At 38.3% G+C, this 14,528-nt stretch overlaps 1 long non-coding RNA gene across 1 annotated transcript in view; it reads left to right on the top strand.

The window, feature by feature from the left end:
- The window catches only part of LYPLAL1-AS1 (LYPLAL1 antisense RNA 1), a 122,167-nt gene that overhangs the window by 80,409 nt on the left and 27,230 nt on the right, over positions 1-14,528 (top strand). Inside the window, exon 2 of the long non-coding RNA NR_135822.1 lies at positions 7,073-7,251. This is a non-coding gene — a long non-coding RNA (LYPLAL1 antisense RNA 1). The remainder of the gene's footprint in view (positions 1-7,072; positions 7,252-14,528) is intronic.

Raw genomic sequence — 14,528 nt, 5'->3', positions numbered from 1 at the left:
GTAATGGTTACAAATCAGGGAATAGGTTAAAAGTTTCTAGAAAAATTATGCAGGTGTTAAATCATGTACACCTAATCTCTTTCTTTTATAGGTAAAATTGAGGCTCAGAGAAAAGGGAAATAGTTTACCCGAAAAACTGGGTACAAATTCTCTATACATCCTACATTTGGCCTTGGGCAAGTTGTTCAGCCTCTGTTGCCCCAGCTGTGAAAAAGAGGCAATGTTAACTATAAGGTAAAGCTATGATGCTGATTAAATAAATGACATACAAAGTGTCTGGCACAGAATAGGTGCTCAGCAAACCACTAGTTGCCTTCCTCTTTCCTAAAGTCTCCATGGAGTTGTTACATATAACAACATGGAGTTGTTAAATATTTGGGAGCAGAATGCAAGAGTTGGCCCTCAATCTTGTGTTCTTCCCATTTCACCAGGCTGCTTCCTGCTGAGATTTATAGGGAAACTACCTTGTTGAAGAGCTAGCTGCTGACTCTCACTTGGGAATGTGTTGGGGAGATGGTGTGAGTGAAAGGTAGAGATGTGTTACAAACCCTGACTACCACCATGGCTGAAACTGCAACCACCAACTACAGGAGGGTCATTCATTGTAATAGAAAGGGGCTGTTGGTGGCAGAACTGTGTTTTCAGCATCCACAGCTGACAGTCCCCCTGAGGTTATAGAACTATGCTGCACACGAGTTCACAGCTGTGAGTGTGACACCGATGATAAAGCAATAATCCTCTCTATCTAATGTCCTTCCAGGTTGGGTGGCTGCCTGCCTTACCTAAATAGGTTTTGTGTAGACTTACATTTGAATGCATTCATTATACTCATAGAAACTGGTGGTGGCTTGAATAAACTCCTCATTCTCCTTGAGAAATAGCCTGAAATCATTCACTCGTCATTCCTTTCTTCCTCAGAAATGTCCTGAACCCTATCATATGCTTAAGATTTAGCAGTGCACAAAGAAAGATACAAAGAAGGAGTGTACACAGCCCTTCAAGTATTTTACAAGTCTGGGGTTTGCTAACAGACCTGGAAACTTAAACAGCAAACCACAGCAACAATTTATTCATTCATTCATTGAATATATATTTATTTAGAAATAATGCTGACCACCGACAAGGCTTTGGGCTAGGTGAACTGTAGCATAGAAGGATGAATATGATTTCTTTCTTTCCCTCTTTCTTTTTCTTTTCTTTCTTTCTTTCTTTCTTTCTTTCTCTCTTTCTTTTTCTGTTTCTCTTTCTTTCTTTCTTTCTTTCTTTCTTTCTTTCTTTCTTTCTTTCTTTCTTTCTTTCTTTCTTTCTTTCTTTCTTTCTTTCTTTCTTTCTTTCTTTCTTTCTTTCTTTCTTTCTTTCTTTCTTTCTTTCTTTCTTTCTTTTTGGGGTGGGCAGAGTTTCACTCTTGTTGCCCAGGCTGGAGTGCAATGGCACGATCTCGGCTCACTGAAACCTCCGCCTCCCAGGTTCAAGCGATTCCCCTGCCTCAGCCTCCTGAGTAGCTGGGATTACCGGCATGCACTACTGTGCCTGGCTAATTTTGTATTTTTATTAGAGACAGGGTTTCTCCATGTTGGTCAGGCTGGTCTCAAACTCCCGAACTCAGGTGATCTACCCACCTTGTCCTCCCAAAGTGCTGGGATTACAGGCATGAGCCACTGTGCCCAGCCCAATATAATTTGTTTCTAAGCAGCATGCAGTTAGATGAAGAAAGGACATTAGAGTGTTGAAGACAAACTTTAATATCTAGTATATAATATATGTATAGTATATAAGTATGAATAAGATGTACTAGGTAAATGATGTAAATTATGATAAATAGTCAAATAAATGTAAATAAGTTTGCGTTTGGCAAAGCCTCTGTGATCCAATCAGTGATTCTTAATCCCTAAGGTCATTAAGTCTTGCCCATCCTGCCTCCACAGTCACTTCTTCCTTCATTCTCTTTTCCTTTCTTGGTTCCTCTATATTTGATCCTTGTTATCTTGGTGCAATGAGTGACAGCCATCTTCTCAGAAGGAATGATGCTTGGAGGACGAGTGAGAATTAACCAGGTAGAAAGGGGAGGGCATTGTAGGGAATATAAATGCATGTGCAAGGGTCTGGAGAAAGGGAGAGATCACGGTATGTATGAGGGACTGAAAGAAAGCAGGACAGTTAGAACAAGAGGCAACATGGGATGAGATAAGTAGGGGATGTGTGCGATGGGGACACAGGGTTTGTTCAGTGAGGCCATGCAGAACTTGTGGGTCATAGGAGATAATTTTGTTTTTATTTGAAGAGCTCTGGAGATCATGACAAATCATCACAGACTATCATAGTTTCTAACTAGAAGGAATCTTGAGTTTCTCTAGTCTAAACCTTGACTTTATATCTGTCACTGTGTCTATATTGAGTGAACTTCTGGCCTATGCTGAAGAAAACAACTTAATTGCTAGGGAACTTGGGAATCCTGTGACTACTCATTCAACTTTTTTGTTGTTATTTCTCCTCTCTTATTTCTAAATTAACCATTTGAAAGTGAACAATTCAGTGGTGTTTAGTCCATTCACAGCACTGTGCCACCACCACTGCTATCCAGTTCCAAAACATTTCCATCATTCCTAAAACCTTTACCCTTCAAGTGGGTTCTCCCCTTTTCCCCTCTGCCCAGCTCCTGGCAAAAACCAATCTGCATTCTGTCTCTATGGATGTATCCATTCCAGATCTTTTATGTAAATAGAATCATAGAGCATATGGCCTTTTGTACCTGGTTTCTTTCACTTCATAGTTTATCTGTGTTGTAGCATGCATTAGTCCTTCATTCCTTTTTATTGCTGAATAATATTCCATACTCATTCCATTTTGGAATAACTCTGATAAAAACTTATTTGCCATTCTCCTGCCTCAGCCTCCCGAGTAGCTGGGACTACAGGTGCCCGCCACCATGCCCGGCTAATTTTTTGTAATTTTAGTAGAGACAGAGTTTCACTGTGTTAGCCAGGATGGTCTCTATCTCCTGACCTTGTGATCTGCCCACCTCGGCCTCCCAAAGTGCTGGGATTACAGGTGTGAGCCACCGTGCCCGGCCTTGGTTTTTTTACACCTTCAGAGGAAGGCAAAGGAGTGACAGGTAATCACCATATAAGAAGAAATTTATACGTCTTTTGAGTCCCTGTTGGTTATCGTAACAAGGAATAAGGTAGTTTTTAACTTACAATAACTTATGGTTATACAGTTCCACCATGTAGGACAATTTTTGACAGTAATTTTGTGTTAAATATGTGGTATCTTTTAAGTTCCCAAACTTATAATTAGCATCTTATACTCATTTCCATGAAATATTCTTCGAATGCACATTCTTCTTGAAGTATTTTTAAAAATATACAAGTAAATTGTTATGGAAAGTAAATCCCTTATGTTTACTGCTTTGGCAAGGCAGTGATTACAGCTTTCCTACCTCCAATAAATCTCTCTGTAAAGTCAGCAGTTACCAAAGGCTACTATGTGAAGTGCCTTCTGGAAGAAAGTGACAATCTACTTAAATTTTGGATACAAGGAAGAAGAACATGTTTACTTGTTTAGTTCTGGTTTTCATTTTCTCAGATTATTCACTCATGGAATTTCTTTTTTGGGGCATGTGGATTTTTTGAATCCACTCACTTTATTCTCTACTATTTCAATTATTTGATTTTGTCAGACTTTAAGAAGCTTGTGCAAATAGCCATTTTTTAAGGTTCTTCAAAGAAAACTAACATTTGACTGTTAGAGACCTCTGTGTGGACTGAGGTGGATGGAGCATGAAGCTGTTATTGGAGCTCCATGACAATGCATGGGAGAAGGCAAGGGGAGGTGACCTCATGGAACAGGTCATCCAGACTTTGCCTCTGCCAGTGTGAAGTTCTTACTCTTGTGGATGATTGATTGGCCTATTAGAATCACTGAATCTGTGTGCCTAAATTTTCCAAAGTGAACTCAACCCACAATGCCTAGTTGGTTTCTGTCCATGGGCGTTCTATCTACACAATGTCTTTCTGTCCAAATACTAAAGGCCAGAGAATCCCTTTGGAACTTTGAAGAGTTTGAACCCCATCAGCCACTCCCAGGTGGAGTTGCACAACCTTAGAGGCCCTGTTTGTGGTCCACTATATAGTTTCACCGTGAACATCAGACTTGTTTCAGTTTTGATCAATGGTTTTCTATAAACAGAGCCTGCTTTTGTCCAGCTCCTGCAATGGGACTCTTCAAGTATATATAATAGGTTGTTGCCTTGGAATTTTTCTGTTATTTAAAGTTTCAGTTGAAGCCTCAAAGCTGAGAGCAGTGAGTTCTAAGTATGCACACTCCTAACATAAACTTTCAAGATTTACCATGTGATAGCAAAGCTAGTTCTGAGACCCATATCCTACTAGCTAATTCCAGAATATAGAATAGAAGGTAGAAGATAGAGATTTAATTAGAGGAGGCTGTATTTGGAGGTAATTCATAGAAGAAGAGAATGTTAATGTTGCTCCCTCCACCAAGTAAGTCAGAAAGGGCCCCAAGAGCAACAGATGGAGTCATGGGTCAGATACTATTGCGGTACAGGAGTGAAGCATGGTGAGAGATCACTCCATGGGTCAGATACTATTGCGGTACAGGAGTGAAGCATGGTGAGAGATCACTCCACCTGAGGTGGGTTCTGTTAGGCTTGGGGATATTTGAGAATTGAGGAAGTTATACCTGCCTTTGCCTGGAAAATTCTGAAGACAGAAGGCTAGCTAAAGTTGTCTGTGATGATAGGAAAGGAGGGCAGACATAGGCCAATGTAACCAGTACAGATATGATACTTTAATCTGCACTATTAATATTTTCCATATCACTTTATTAGGTCTAGACCAGGGTTTCTCAACCTTAGCACTACTGCCATTTGGGGCTGAATAATTCTTTGTTATGGGAGGTTGTTGATATGGTTTGTCTGTGTTCCCACCCAAATCACAACTTGAATTGTAATAATTCCCATGTGTCAAGGGCAGGGCCAGATGGAGATAATTGAATCATAAGGGCAGTTTCCCCCATACTGTGCTCATGGTAGGGAATAAGTCTCTTGAGATCTGATGGTTTTATAAATGGGAGTTCCCCTGCACACGCTGCCTTGCCTGCAGCCATGTAAGGTGTGACTTTGCTCCTCACTCACCTTCTTCCATGATTGTGAGTTCTCCCAGCCATGTGAAACGGTGAATCAATTAAGCCTCTTTCCTTTGTAAGTAACCCAGTCTCTGGTATGTCTTTATTAGCAATGTGAGGACAGATTAATACAGTTGTCCTGTGAATTATAGGGTATTTAGCAGCATCCATGGTCTCTACCCACTAGATACTAGTAGTAATCCCCCGTTGGAAGAACCAAAAATTTATCGAGACATTGCCAAATGTTAGGCATTGGAGGGGCAAACGTCACCTTGGTTGAGAACTAGTGGTGTAGACAGTCAACAAGACAAATGAAATCCTGATTTGTAGTGTTTGCCAATTTTTGTGATATGAATACCTCTACCTTAGCTGATCTCAAGCTACCAGTGTGATGCAACTAAGGGAAAAGTTGGAAAGTGAGCTGGACATATTGTTTCCATTATGCCCATAGAATAGATAAAAATATAACTTCAAGAGCATAGATGATAGTAAAATGATAATAATTAGGAAGTGTTGAGTTTTGAAAAAATATATTTTTGTTTTTGATAAAATTTATTTATTTGAAAGTTTATATACTTTAATTCTTAATGATGCCTGTGTTTAACAACTGGTTTACAAAATTTCTGAGAATTTAACAGTCTGCTCTCATGTGCCAATGTGACTTGCCTGCAGCACACCACATTTACAGCCAAATTAGGAACGTAGAGAGGTAAGAAGATTTCTTCTCCTTACAGCTTATCATATAATGTCAAACTGACCCCAGTTTGTAAACTAAGTAATTATACATGCCATCTATATTCCAAGCATCAGCCATTCCCCAAGGGAGGCTTTCCTTTGGCATATTTAGGAAATCGAGGGGTTGTCTTAGTTCTTTCTCATGTTCATCCATTGGACAGTTGGCTCTCAGCATTCTGCGTTCTTCACAGCCATTTCCAGTGTCACGGTGAGTCACTGGTTGTTTTCTGTTATTTCACTCCTGGAAGTCTGCATCTCTTGTCTTTGGTGATGTGCCTGCATCCTCAGCAGTAGAGAGATCAGCAAAGGCCACAATTTCATTTCTAAGCCACAGATATTAGTTTTGCTCCTCTCCCCTGATATATGCTTTTACTTTCTATCTCTTAAGAAATCATATCCTCTGAAATTTTCTCAATATTAATTTCTTCAGCCCCTTCCCAAGGTAGAAAAACCCAATTCTGTATTTGCTCCTTATCTTAGATACCTTTTTCCTCTCCATCAATCCTTCCAGTGCAATACAGATAATTCACAGAAGAATGTGTACAAATTCTGAGATAGTCATTTTAGAATAATACCAGCAATGGGTAGTATGGGTATACTTCACATCTATAGATAGATAGATAGATAGATAGATAGCAGATGAATATATAGGAACCCATATACATGAATTATATATATTTATTTACGTATCTTGTATGTTTTACACACACAAACACATGTCCTCTTTGTATAGGCATAGAATACCAATATTCTATAAATGTAGCTACTGTTATAGTGAACAGTAGTTATTTCTGTGAATGTGGCCTGGGGTTGTGGTGGAGGAAGACTCTTTTTTTTTTTTTTTTTTTTAATTTAACATTTTTACAAGTTTGTATCTAGTTAGCTAAAACAGGTGCCTACCAGCCTTAATTTCTCCAGTCTTTCTTGAGACCAAACCCAGAAAGTCCTTCAGCCTCCATGATGATTGGTCTAAGTGAATGAGAGTGTTTGCTGTTGATGTGCACTTTTCTCTTTGGTCCTCTTTCTCTAGCATGATTTTACTGCTTCAGTCATCACACTCTCCAATCCGCTCTCATGATCTTCCTACTTTATTCTCGGAGAACATTTTGGTAATTGTCCCAGAGAAGCCCTAGTGAGGATTATCGTGTTAAAAGTGACATGCTAATGTCATGCTTGTGTGGATTTCCTTCAGCAGATGAGCCAGCTCCCTTGTGAAGCTGTAAGAACATGGTACTTACAGGAGTAAGGCTCATGAAGTGGAGAGATGAGAAGACTTTCGGGACAGATTGTGTGGAGGCTGTCATTCTCCTCGTGACATTGCTGTGGGAGAAGAAGGAGGCATTCCATGTTGGCTTCAGTGAAGAACTTCAGGTTACTAAAATTTAACTTTATCTTCTTTTGGGTTAGGTGTATAAGGCTGTGTGTACATAAATGTTTCAAAATATAAAGCTTATTTAGAGTTTGTTTAAACACAGAAAAAATGAGTAAAGAAAATTGAGCTCCTTTGCAGCAGAAAAATACAAAGTTGTCAGTGAGAGAGACTGGTTATTCCATCTAGATTTTCCTAGCTTTAAATATAATGAAAGAAAAACAGACCAACTAATACTACGTTTATTTGAATAGGTGAGCTCAGTGATCAGATGTCAGCTCTCAAAAGTTATCATTCAGCCTAGAAACCCAATTTAATTATTTGCAATTTATTCTCTACTATGTTTTGGAAAAAGATGACTATATCAGTTTTACTTGTAGCCTCCTTTGAAAATGTAAGTTTTCCTTCTGTTGGTGATTCAAGAGTCCCTTTCTGCTATCGTTAATGTCTTTTTTGAGATTTTTTAAGAAAATTTTATTTCAATAGCTTTGGGGTACAAGTAGTTTTTTGTTAGGTGGATGAATTGAGTTTTTTTTTTAAATATAGATAAGAAAAATGTCAAAGACATGATTAAAAATAATTAGAAATTACAAGAGTTTAAAAAATATTTTTCTCAATCTTAATTTAAACCCAACTTTGAAGACTGAGTTGACGTTTTGGAAAAAACCTAAATCCTTTGAGAGAAATAAACCTATAAAGTATTTTAATGTGAATAATATAAAGTAAAACAGAAAAAAATGGATCTCTAAAATAATATTAGTTTCTATGTTAGTTTTTCTTTAAGATCAACCTCTTTTTTGACTGTTTTATTGAAAACTCTAAGACAGTAGCTTATTTTTCCACCGACCTAAGCACCTGAGACTTTTGGCTGATGGCTATAAGACCAGTAAAACTGCCTAGAAAGTGTAACTTTATAACATAACTTAAACCATGTTTATAGAATGTATTCCAACATTTACTTTTTTCCAAAAGCAAACAACTCAGTGTGTATTCATTATATTACAATGGAAAACAACATTCATGTTTTTGAACATTGATAACACTTGCTCTGTAGTTATATTGTTTACAGTGTTTTGTAGTATCAACGGATAAGTCTGAAAGGAGGGAACGCTGATCTCACTTAGCGTAAAATTTTTCTGAGCCTAACATGAAGGAAATAGAGTAATATTTTATTTGAACATGTTTTATTAGCTTGATTTTCAAGTGCTGTGGTAAAATCATGTTTCTGACTCTATACAGCCCAAGATAATATGGTCAGCCAGTGCACCTGGTATCATCTCATAACCATGTTCCACTTCAGGGTCTTTGCCTGTAGTAGTATTCCTTTCTATCCGTTTGGTTTGCTTTTTAACCTCTTTTAATTCTTTCCTCAATATCACCTTCTCAGATACCCATGATCATCCTGTATAAAATCATACTCTTGTCATCCAGCACCTTTCATCTCTGTTATCCTAAGTATTGTTCTCTGAAATATTATGTAATACAATTGTTTATTATGTTATGTATTTTGTCTCTCTCATCACAGAATATTTATCATAAAACTCATGATACAGAGGATATTGTCTTTTAATTTTTTTTCTTTTTCTTCATTGCTGTATCCCCACTGCCCATACAGTGCTCGTTACATAGTAGGAGCTAACTAAATATTGTTGTCTAAATGAATAAACGAATGAATGGATGTAGGTTACCTTCTCCACACATTTGATGTATTCAGTAGTTAATTTCCCAGAAGTTTTTAAAAAGAAATTTTAGCATTGGATAAAACTAATAGACCTATTGTACCCAACATTGAAACTGAGGGCAGTGAACATTGTGATAATTTTGAGAAAAATCCCAAAGAAATGGAGCCAGTGATAGAACAAGCAAATTTGCTGAAGATCACAGAATTCTTAACCAGAAAAAAAAACATGTAGTGTTACTCTGCCAAGTATGACAGAACTACAGTTGTGAGCATTTGACTCATCTAGCAAAAGGAAATCGATGTAGATATTTTTTAAAAAATGACTTGATAGAGATGTGACTTGTTGCTTATCTATCAATATTGCTCAGTAGGGTATCTCAACTCTTGGCATTTCCATGTCAGGCACTGAAATGTGTTTTGGGCACTGATCTCCTTCCCGTGCAATGGAAACCAGGTGGAAAGCACAACAGCCTCCCACAGTGAATTTGTAATTAGTCAGGAACTTGGAGGAGAAAATAGTATGTGGGCCAAGAAAAGGAGGGAAACAGAGACCATGCTTGCCTTGCTCTTTTCTTCCTCTGCACCTCTTCTGTCATCTACCAAGCTCTACCCCTTGTACGGCTCCTCTTCTTATTTGAGTCTAAAAGTGGGGAAAGATGCTATCTTTGTAGTTTAAAAGGGAGTGTGGTTTTTTTCTTTACTGAAGACAGCTAGTTATTGAGGAAGAAAAGCTGAAATAGGTATTAGGGAAAAAATATTACTAATGGTAAGAAGAAATAAGCAGTGGAAAAGATGGCTAAAGGAGGCGGGAGAGGGGAGTTGACTTTTGGAGATAATCACATCCAACCTGCTAACCCTGAACCACTGGGTTACCTAAGTTGGTCTCCTCATATTAGAGTCTCAAATTAATATCTGGAATATATTCATGAAGGGGAAAAATCATTGAAAATTATCACTAGTATGTGCCAAAATGTTACACACATTGCAAAACCATATTGCAATTCCCTCCAACAATTTCTCCAGAAGAATAAAGCTGCATCATTGTAAGTGATGCTTGGTATATCCAATGAGTGTTTTGTTTACATTTGACCAAATATCAGTAACCAAAGATATAATAAAACACATGTAAAAGATAAATATGTACTAGTTTTTACTGGAAGATAGGACATGAAATATGCATTTTCTTCTGAACTATATTCATTCTTTTTTGTCAGGTTTTGGCTGTCCACATACTTACACATCTTCTCCCTTCATTCCTTCATGCATCTTTAACTCCACCATCTCCTTAGAAAAAGACATTAATACGAAAACAATGAGTCTAATTCAATTCTAAGGATTTCATTCTTAGAATCTGAGATTCTAATGAATCTAATTTACCGTAAGTTTAAAATGTATTGTTGGTTTCTCTAATAATGAAAGAGCTGGGGGCTATTATACACCATGAGAGAGTACAGTACAAGTCTTCCCACTACATGTAGTTCTCCCTCTCTCTCATAAATTGCCCAATTTGTAGAAGATCTGTATGAGGTAATTTTACATATCTTACCTCTTCTACATTTATAAAGCTGGTTTTGGTTATTCTCTTTTATAACGTAGAAAATCAATTTAGAGACACTAATTTTCCCAGAGTCACACAGTTCATGCCTGACAGAGGTGGAATTCAAACTCAAATCTGTCTGACTTCAAAGTCAACGTTCATTCGGAAAAGAGGCTTCTGTGTGACATGGATCTCAGAGAAGCAAGAGTATGTTAGTCTTGGTGGGTAATGGCAAGAGAAAAAAACTTCCTGTTGTGTGTTTCTAGAACTTCAAATTTCACCCCTTTCACTGACATGGCGAACCCTGCCAAATACCACCAGCTCACATGCCATTTCTTCCTTTTTTATGTTTTTACATTTCTATTCTTTTATTCTGCTTTGTGTAAAAATTACTTGCTTTGATGGCTTTTCCCTCAAGACATGGTGTGTACATTGAGGGCAAAGATTGTTACCTTACGCATTTCTCATTCAGCGCAAAGCCTAGTTCTGTGCACAAAAGTAAGTGCATAATAAATGTTCATAATGAAACAGGAGCTCTGCGTGAGAGCGAGGACCCAGCACTGAAGCACCTCTCAGGTCCTGTGACATCTGTATTAGAATTAAAGCTAGAAGGAACCATTTTCTTGGCATTGCAGTTTAGTCTGCCCCAGCCAAACATAGAAAGCTGTCATGTGAATATTTTTGAACCTCAAAAACAATTTTGGTTTAAGTCTGGGTGGGGGAGGAGGAGAATGGTGGCTCTTATTTCTCCCACACCAGTCCACCCATCTCATATTAGAACATGTAATTCCAACAGTGCTGACTGTCATAAAATTTGTGAACGGAGTGTCCTCTGAACACTGTTTGGTACACACATGGCCTCTTTAAGAAGCTTACTTGTAACTTATAATTAAATTAAAGAACCAGCAGCTGCTGAAAAAAAAAGTATAGCCTAGAGGCCATGTTTATGAGTTTCTCAGGCAAGAGGTAGTCATGTCAGAACTACTATTGTTATGAGTCTGAATGTTTCCAGTGAAATCTTTGCACGAATCATTTGCTTAGTACTAGTCATCCAGTCATGCCTCTTGATTTCAGCCCACTATTTCCTCTTGGAACTGGCAAAAACAACTCTACAAAGGAAAACATTTTATAAGAAAAATCATAGCCTTCTGCTTTTTAAACCATAGATGACCTGGACTCTATGACCAGTTCACAGGGGTGCTGCCTCTGGTTCCAATGGCCGGGGAAGAAAGACTACAACAAACACCAAGCCCTGAAAGCAGAAACCCTGGATTCTCTTTTCTTTGTTTCCTTAATAAAGGATTTTAATACAGTGTAGGTAGGAGATAACTGCCCTGGTTTATACAGGACTGCCCTGCTTTTAGCACTGACAGTCTCACGTCATGGGAAACCCCTCATTCTTGGTCAAATTGGGACAGTTGGTCATCCCAGCATTAGGGGCCTTTCCATGCTGTTAACCAAGCATCAAACATTCTGGGATCAGTTTATGATTTAGAAAGTTTTGAACCATAATACCCAAATCACACATCGGTGGTCAAGTCCCAGTAAATTATACTATAAAGAAGTCATAGAATCTCCAAATAGTCCTTAAATATCTTTTACTACAGAGCTTCCAATCTGGTGTTCCCAGTGGTAGATGTGAACACATTGTGCTACTAATCCAGGTGTGTCAAGGTATTGATCCCCCAGCCCTATTTTGGCTGGGCAGAATCTGGGGTACCTCGAGCCCTCAGTCACTTTTCCCTAGCCATGAGCTACCTTATCTATCTCTTTAGACCAGTGAGCACTACTAAATAATATCATTTTCCATATGTGCCATAATAAGAAAAAAATTTGGAAAGTAGTGCTCAGATCTAAGACACTCATTTTATAGGCAAAACCTAACTTCATTTCTATTAAATACAGGCTGTATGAAGCTGAGGCAAGATTGCGTTCAATTTATCTTGTGTTCAACAGTCTTCAAGGTGATTTAGATCACTGCCTGGGAAAGCTAATGTAGTACAGCATGAGTGGTAAGTGACAAAACTCAGCAAGCTAAACTTGCATTGAAGGCACGTGGCTGGCTAAACGAGGAGAAGAAAATAGACATTTATCTGAATAATATCGATAGAAATTCCCATGTTGCTTCACTTATCTATGTTTTTAGTAAACATACCATTTAAATCTCAATTACCTTTGAGTTTGAGTTAACCTGATGTTTCATTTCTACTCTTAATTTTGACTTTGGACGTATGCAGAGTTATTATTTAAAAAATCAAGATATCCAGAAAGTAAAGGCAGCTAAGTAAGAATTATAGACTTAAAATCCAGGTTTCCAAGATAAACAAGCATTTACACCTCCTCTTAATTATTCCATAAAGATTTACTCAAGTTCAAAATGGAGAAAAGATACAGAGTGAAAGGCAACATGCAAATAAAAGTCTACAGGCTTGAAGGTATTAGAGTTCTAAATTCCCATTCCCCTTGCTAGTCTTCATAGGCAGTGAGTCGAGAAGGGACAGATTCTGTGTATAAAGCTGGGCCTTTACAGATCCGAACTTTACATTGTGCCAAATTTGAAGCCTGCCCAACTTCTGGCTCTTCGATTGCTTAATACATTAGTGGACTTGTTCCAGTTCCCAGTGGTCGGAGTTCCACATCACACAGTCCCTGTCCCATCTGGTGCTAATTGGCACCCTTGTTGGTAGTTTCCAAAAGCAGAACAGGAAAAATAAAAGGGACTATCTTTCTATCCTTAGAAGTTAGAAGCTTAGTACAGGCAGTCCTCAATTTAAAATGAGCTGTGTACTAAAATATTGTATGTAAATCAGCTGTTTAGAACCCAGAACAAATTTTTCCGATGAAACAAAGTCATGTTTGATGGTTACTTCCCCAGGTCAGCCCAGTTCACTAAAGCCTGTTGGACCCATAATGTACCCAATAAATAGTTTCCATCTTAATAGCATAGAACCATCATCAGTGAACCAAGAAGTAGGAAGAGGTGGTGAAAGCATCACTGCCTTTTGTAGTAGAAGGCCAGGCTGGTTCCTCACTAGTTGAATGATTTTAGAAAATTCTCAGAACCCTTTTTAGCTCTGAGTTTCTTTAACTGAATGGAGAAGGGCAGATTATAAAAGTTGCTTTTTGTCTTCACTGGGTTATTGTTGCAAGGCTCAGATAAGATAATGCCTATGAAATATCTTAAAAAACTACTTTCACCTTCTACTGAAAGAACAGAATCACAGATCCTCCCTCTGTTTCCTTCCTAAACCTTGTCAGCAAGAGGATCAGGGACTACTCAAAATCCAAATTCCATGTTGTGGTTCCCATTTTGGGAAAGTGGTTGGGAGGTTAGGAGGCAATGAAGCAGTAAGAAGAGAGACTACTGAGGGGTGGGATCAAAGGATGGCTCCTTTAGGACGGGAAGATCTTTTATTCTATATAAACCCTCAAAGACAATTTCTTGGTACAGGCTGCTCTTTATTATCTTTTTATTTTCTTCCTAGGACTCCAGGGATTGGCCTGTCATTTACACTGTCAACAGTTCTTGCTTCTGAACAGCATATCTTCCTTCCTAGTGTTATTGAAGACTCAACATCCTTTCTGAGGTTTCATAATGAATTTGATTACCTGATTATAAGAGAAGTGATATAGAAAGTCAAAAATCTCACCCCTGTATGTACATATGTACGTGTGTGTGTGTGTGTGTGTGTGTGTGTGTGTATATATATAAACATAGATGAAAAAGAAGACCATACATACATGTTAACTGTACACTTTTGTAATCTAAGGACAATCATGTTTTATTTACACCTGAAAGACGGAGCAGACTCAGGGAATTTAATCTCAGAATTCCTCTGGTGCTGGAGCTATGGAGAGAAGAATAGGCTTAAACCTCTGCATGAGGACTGGTGACAGAATAACGAGGTGTCACAGAGGCTGGTAAGCCTGGGGAACAAGGCATACTTCTGGAAGAAATGGGAAGGAGAGGTAGCCTGGGATGAGATGATTGCTCTTCCCTGCCGTCCTCACCTTCCTCCCCTTCCCACAAGGAAGGAACTACTGTCCACACCATTATGGCA

This window comes from Homo sapiens, chromosome 1, assembly GCF_000001405.40.
Source record: "Homo sapiens chromosome 1, GRCh38.p14 Primary Assembly".
Taxonomy (NCBI): domain Eukaryota; kingdom Metazoa; phylum Chordata; class Mammalia; order Primates; family Hominidae; genus Homo; species Homo sapiens.
The sequence above is the reverse complement of the archived record's forward strand: the minus strand, read 5'-3'. Positions and strand labels throughout refer to the sequence as shown.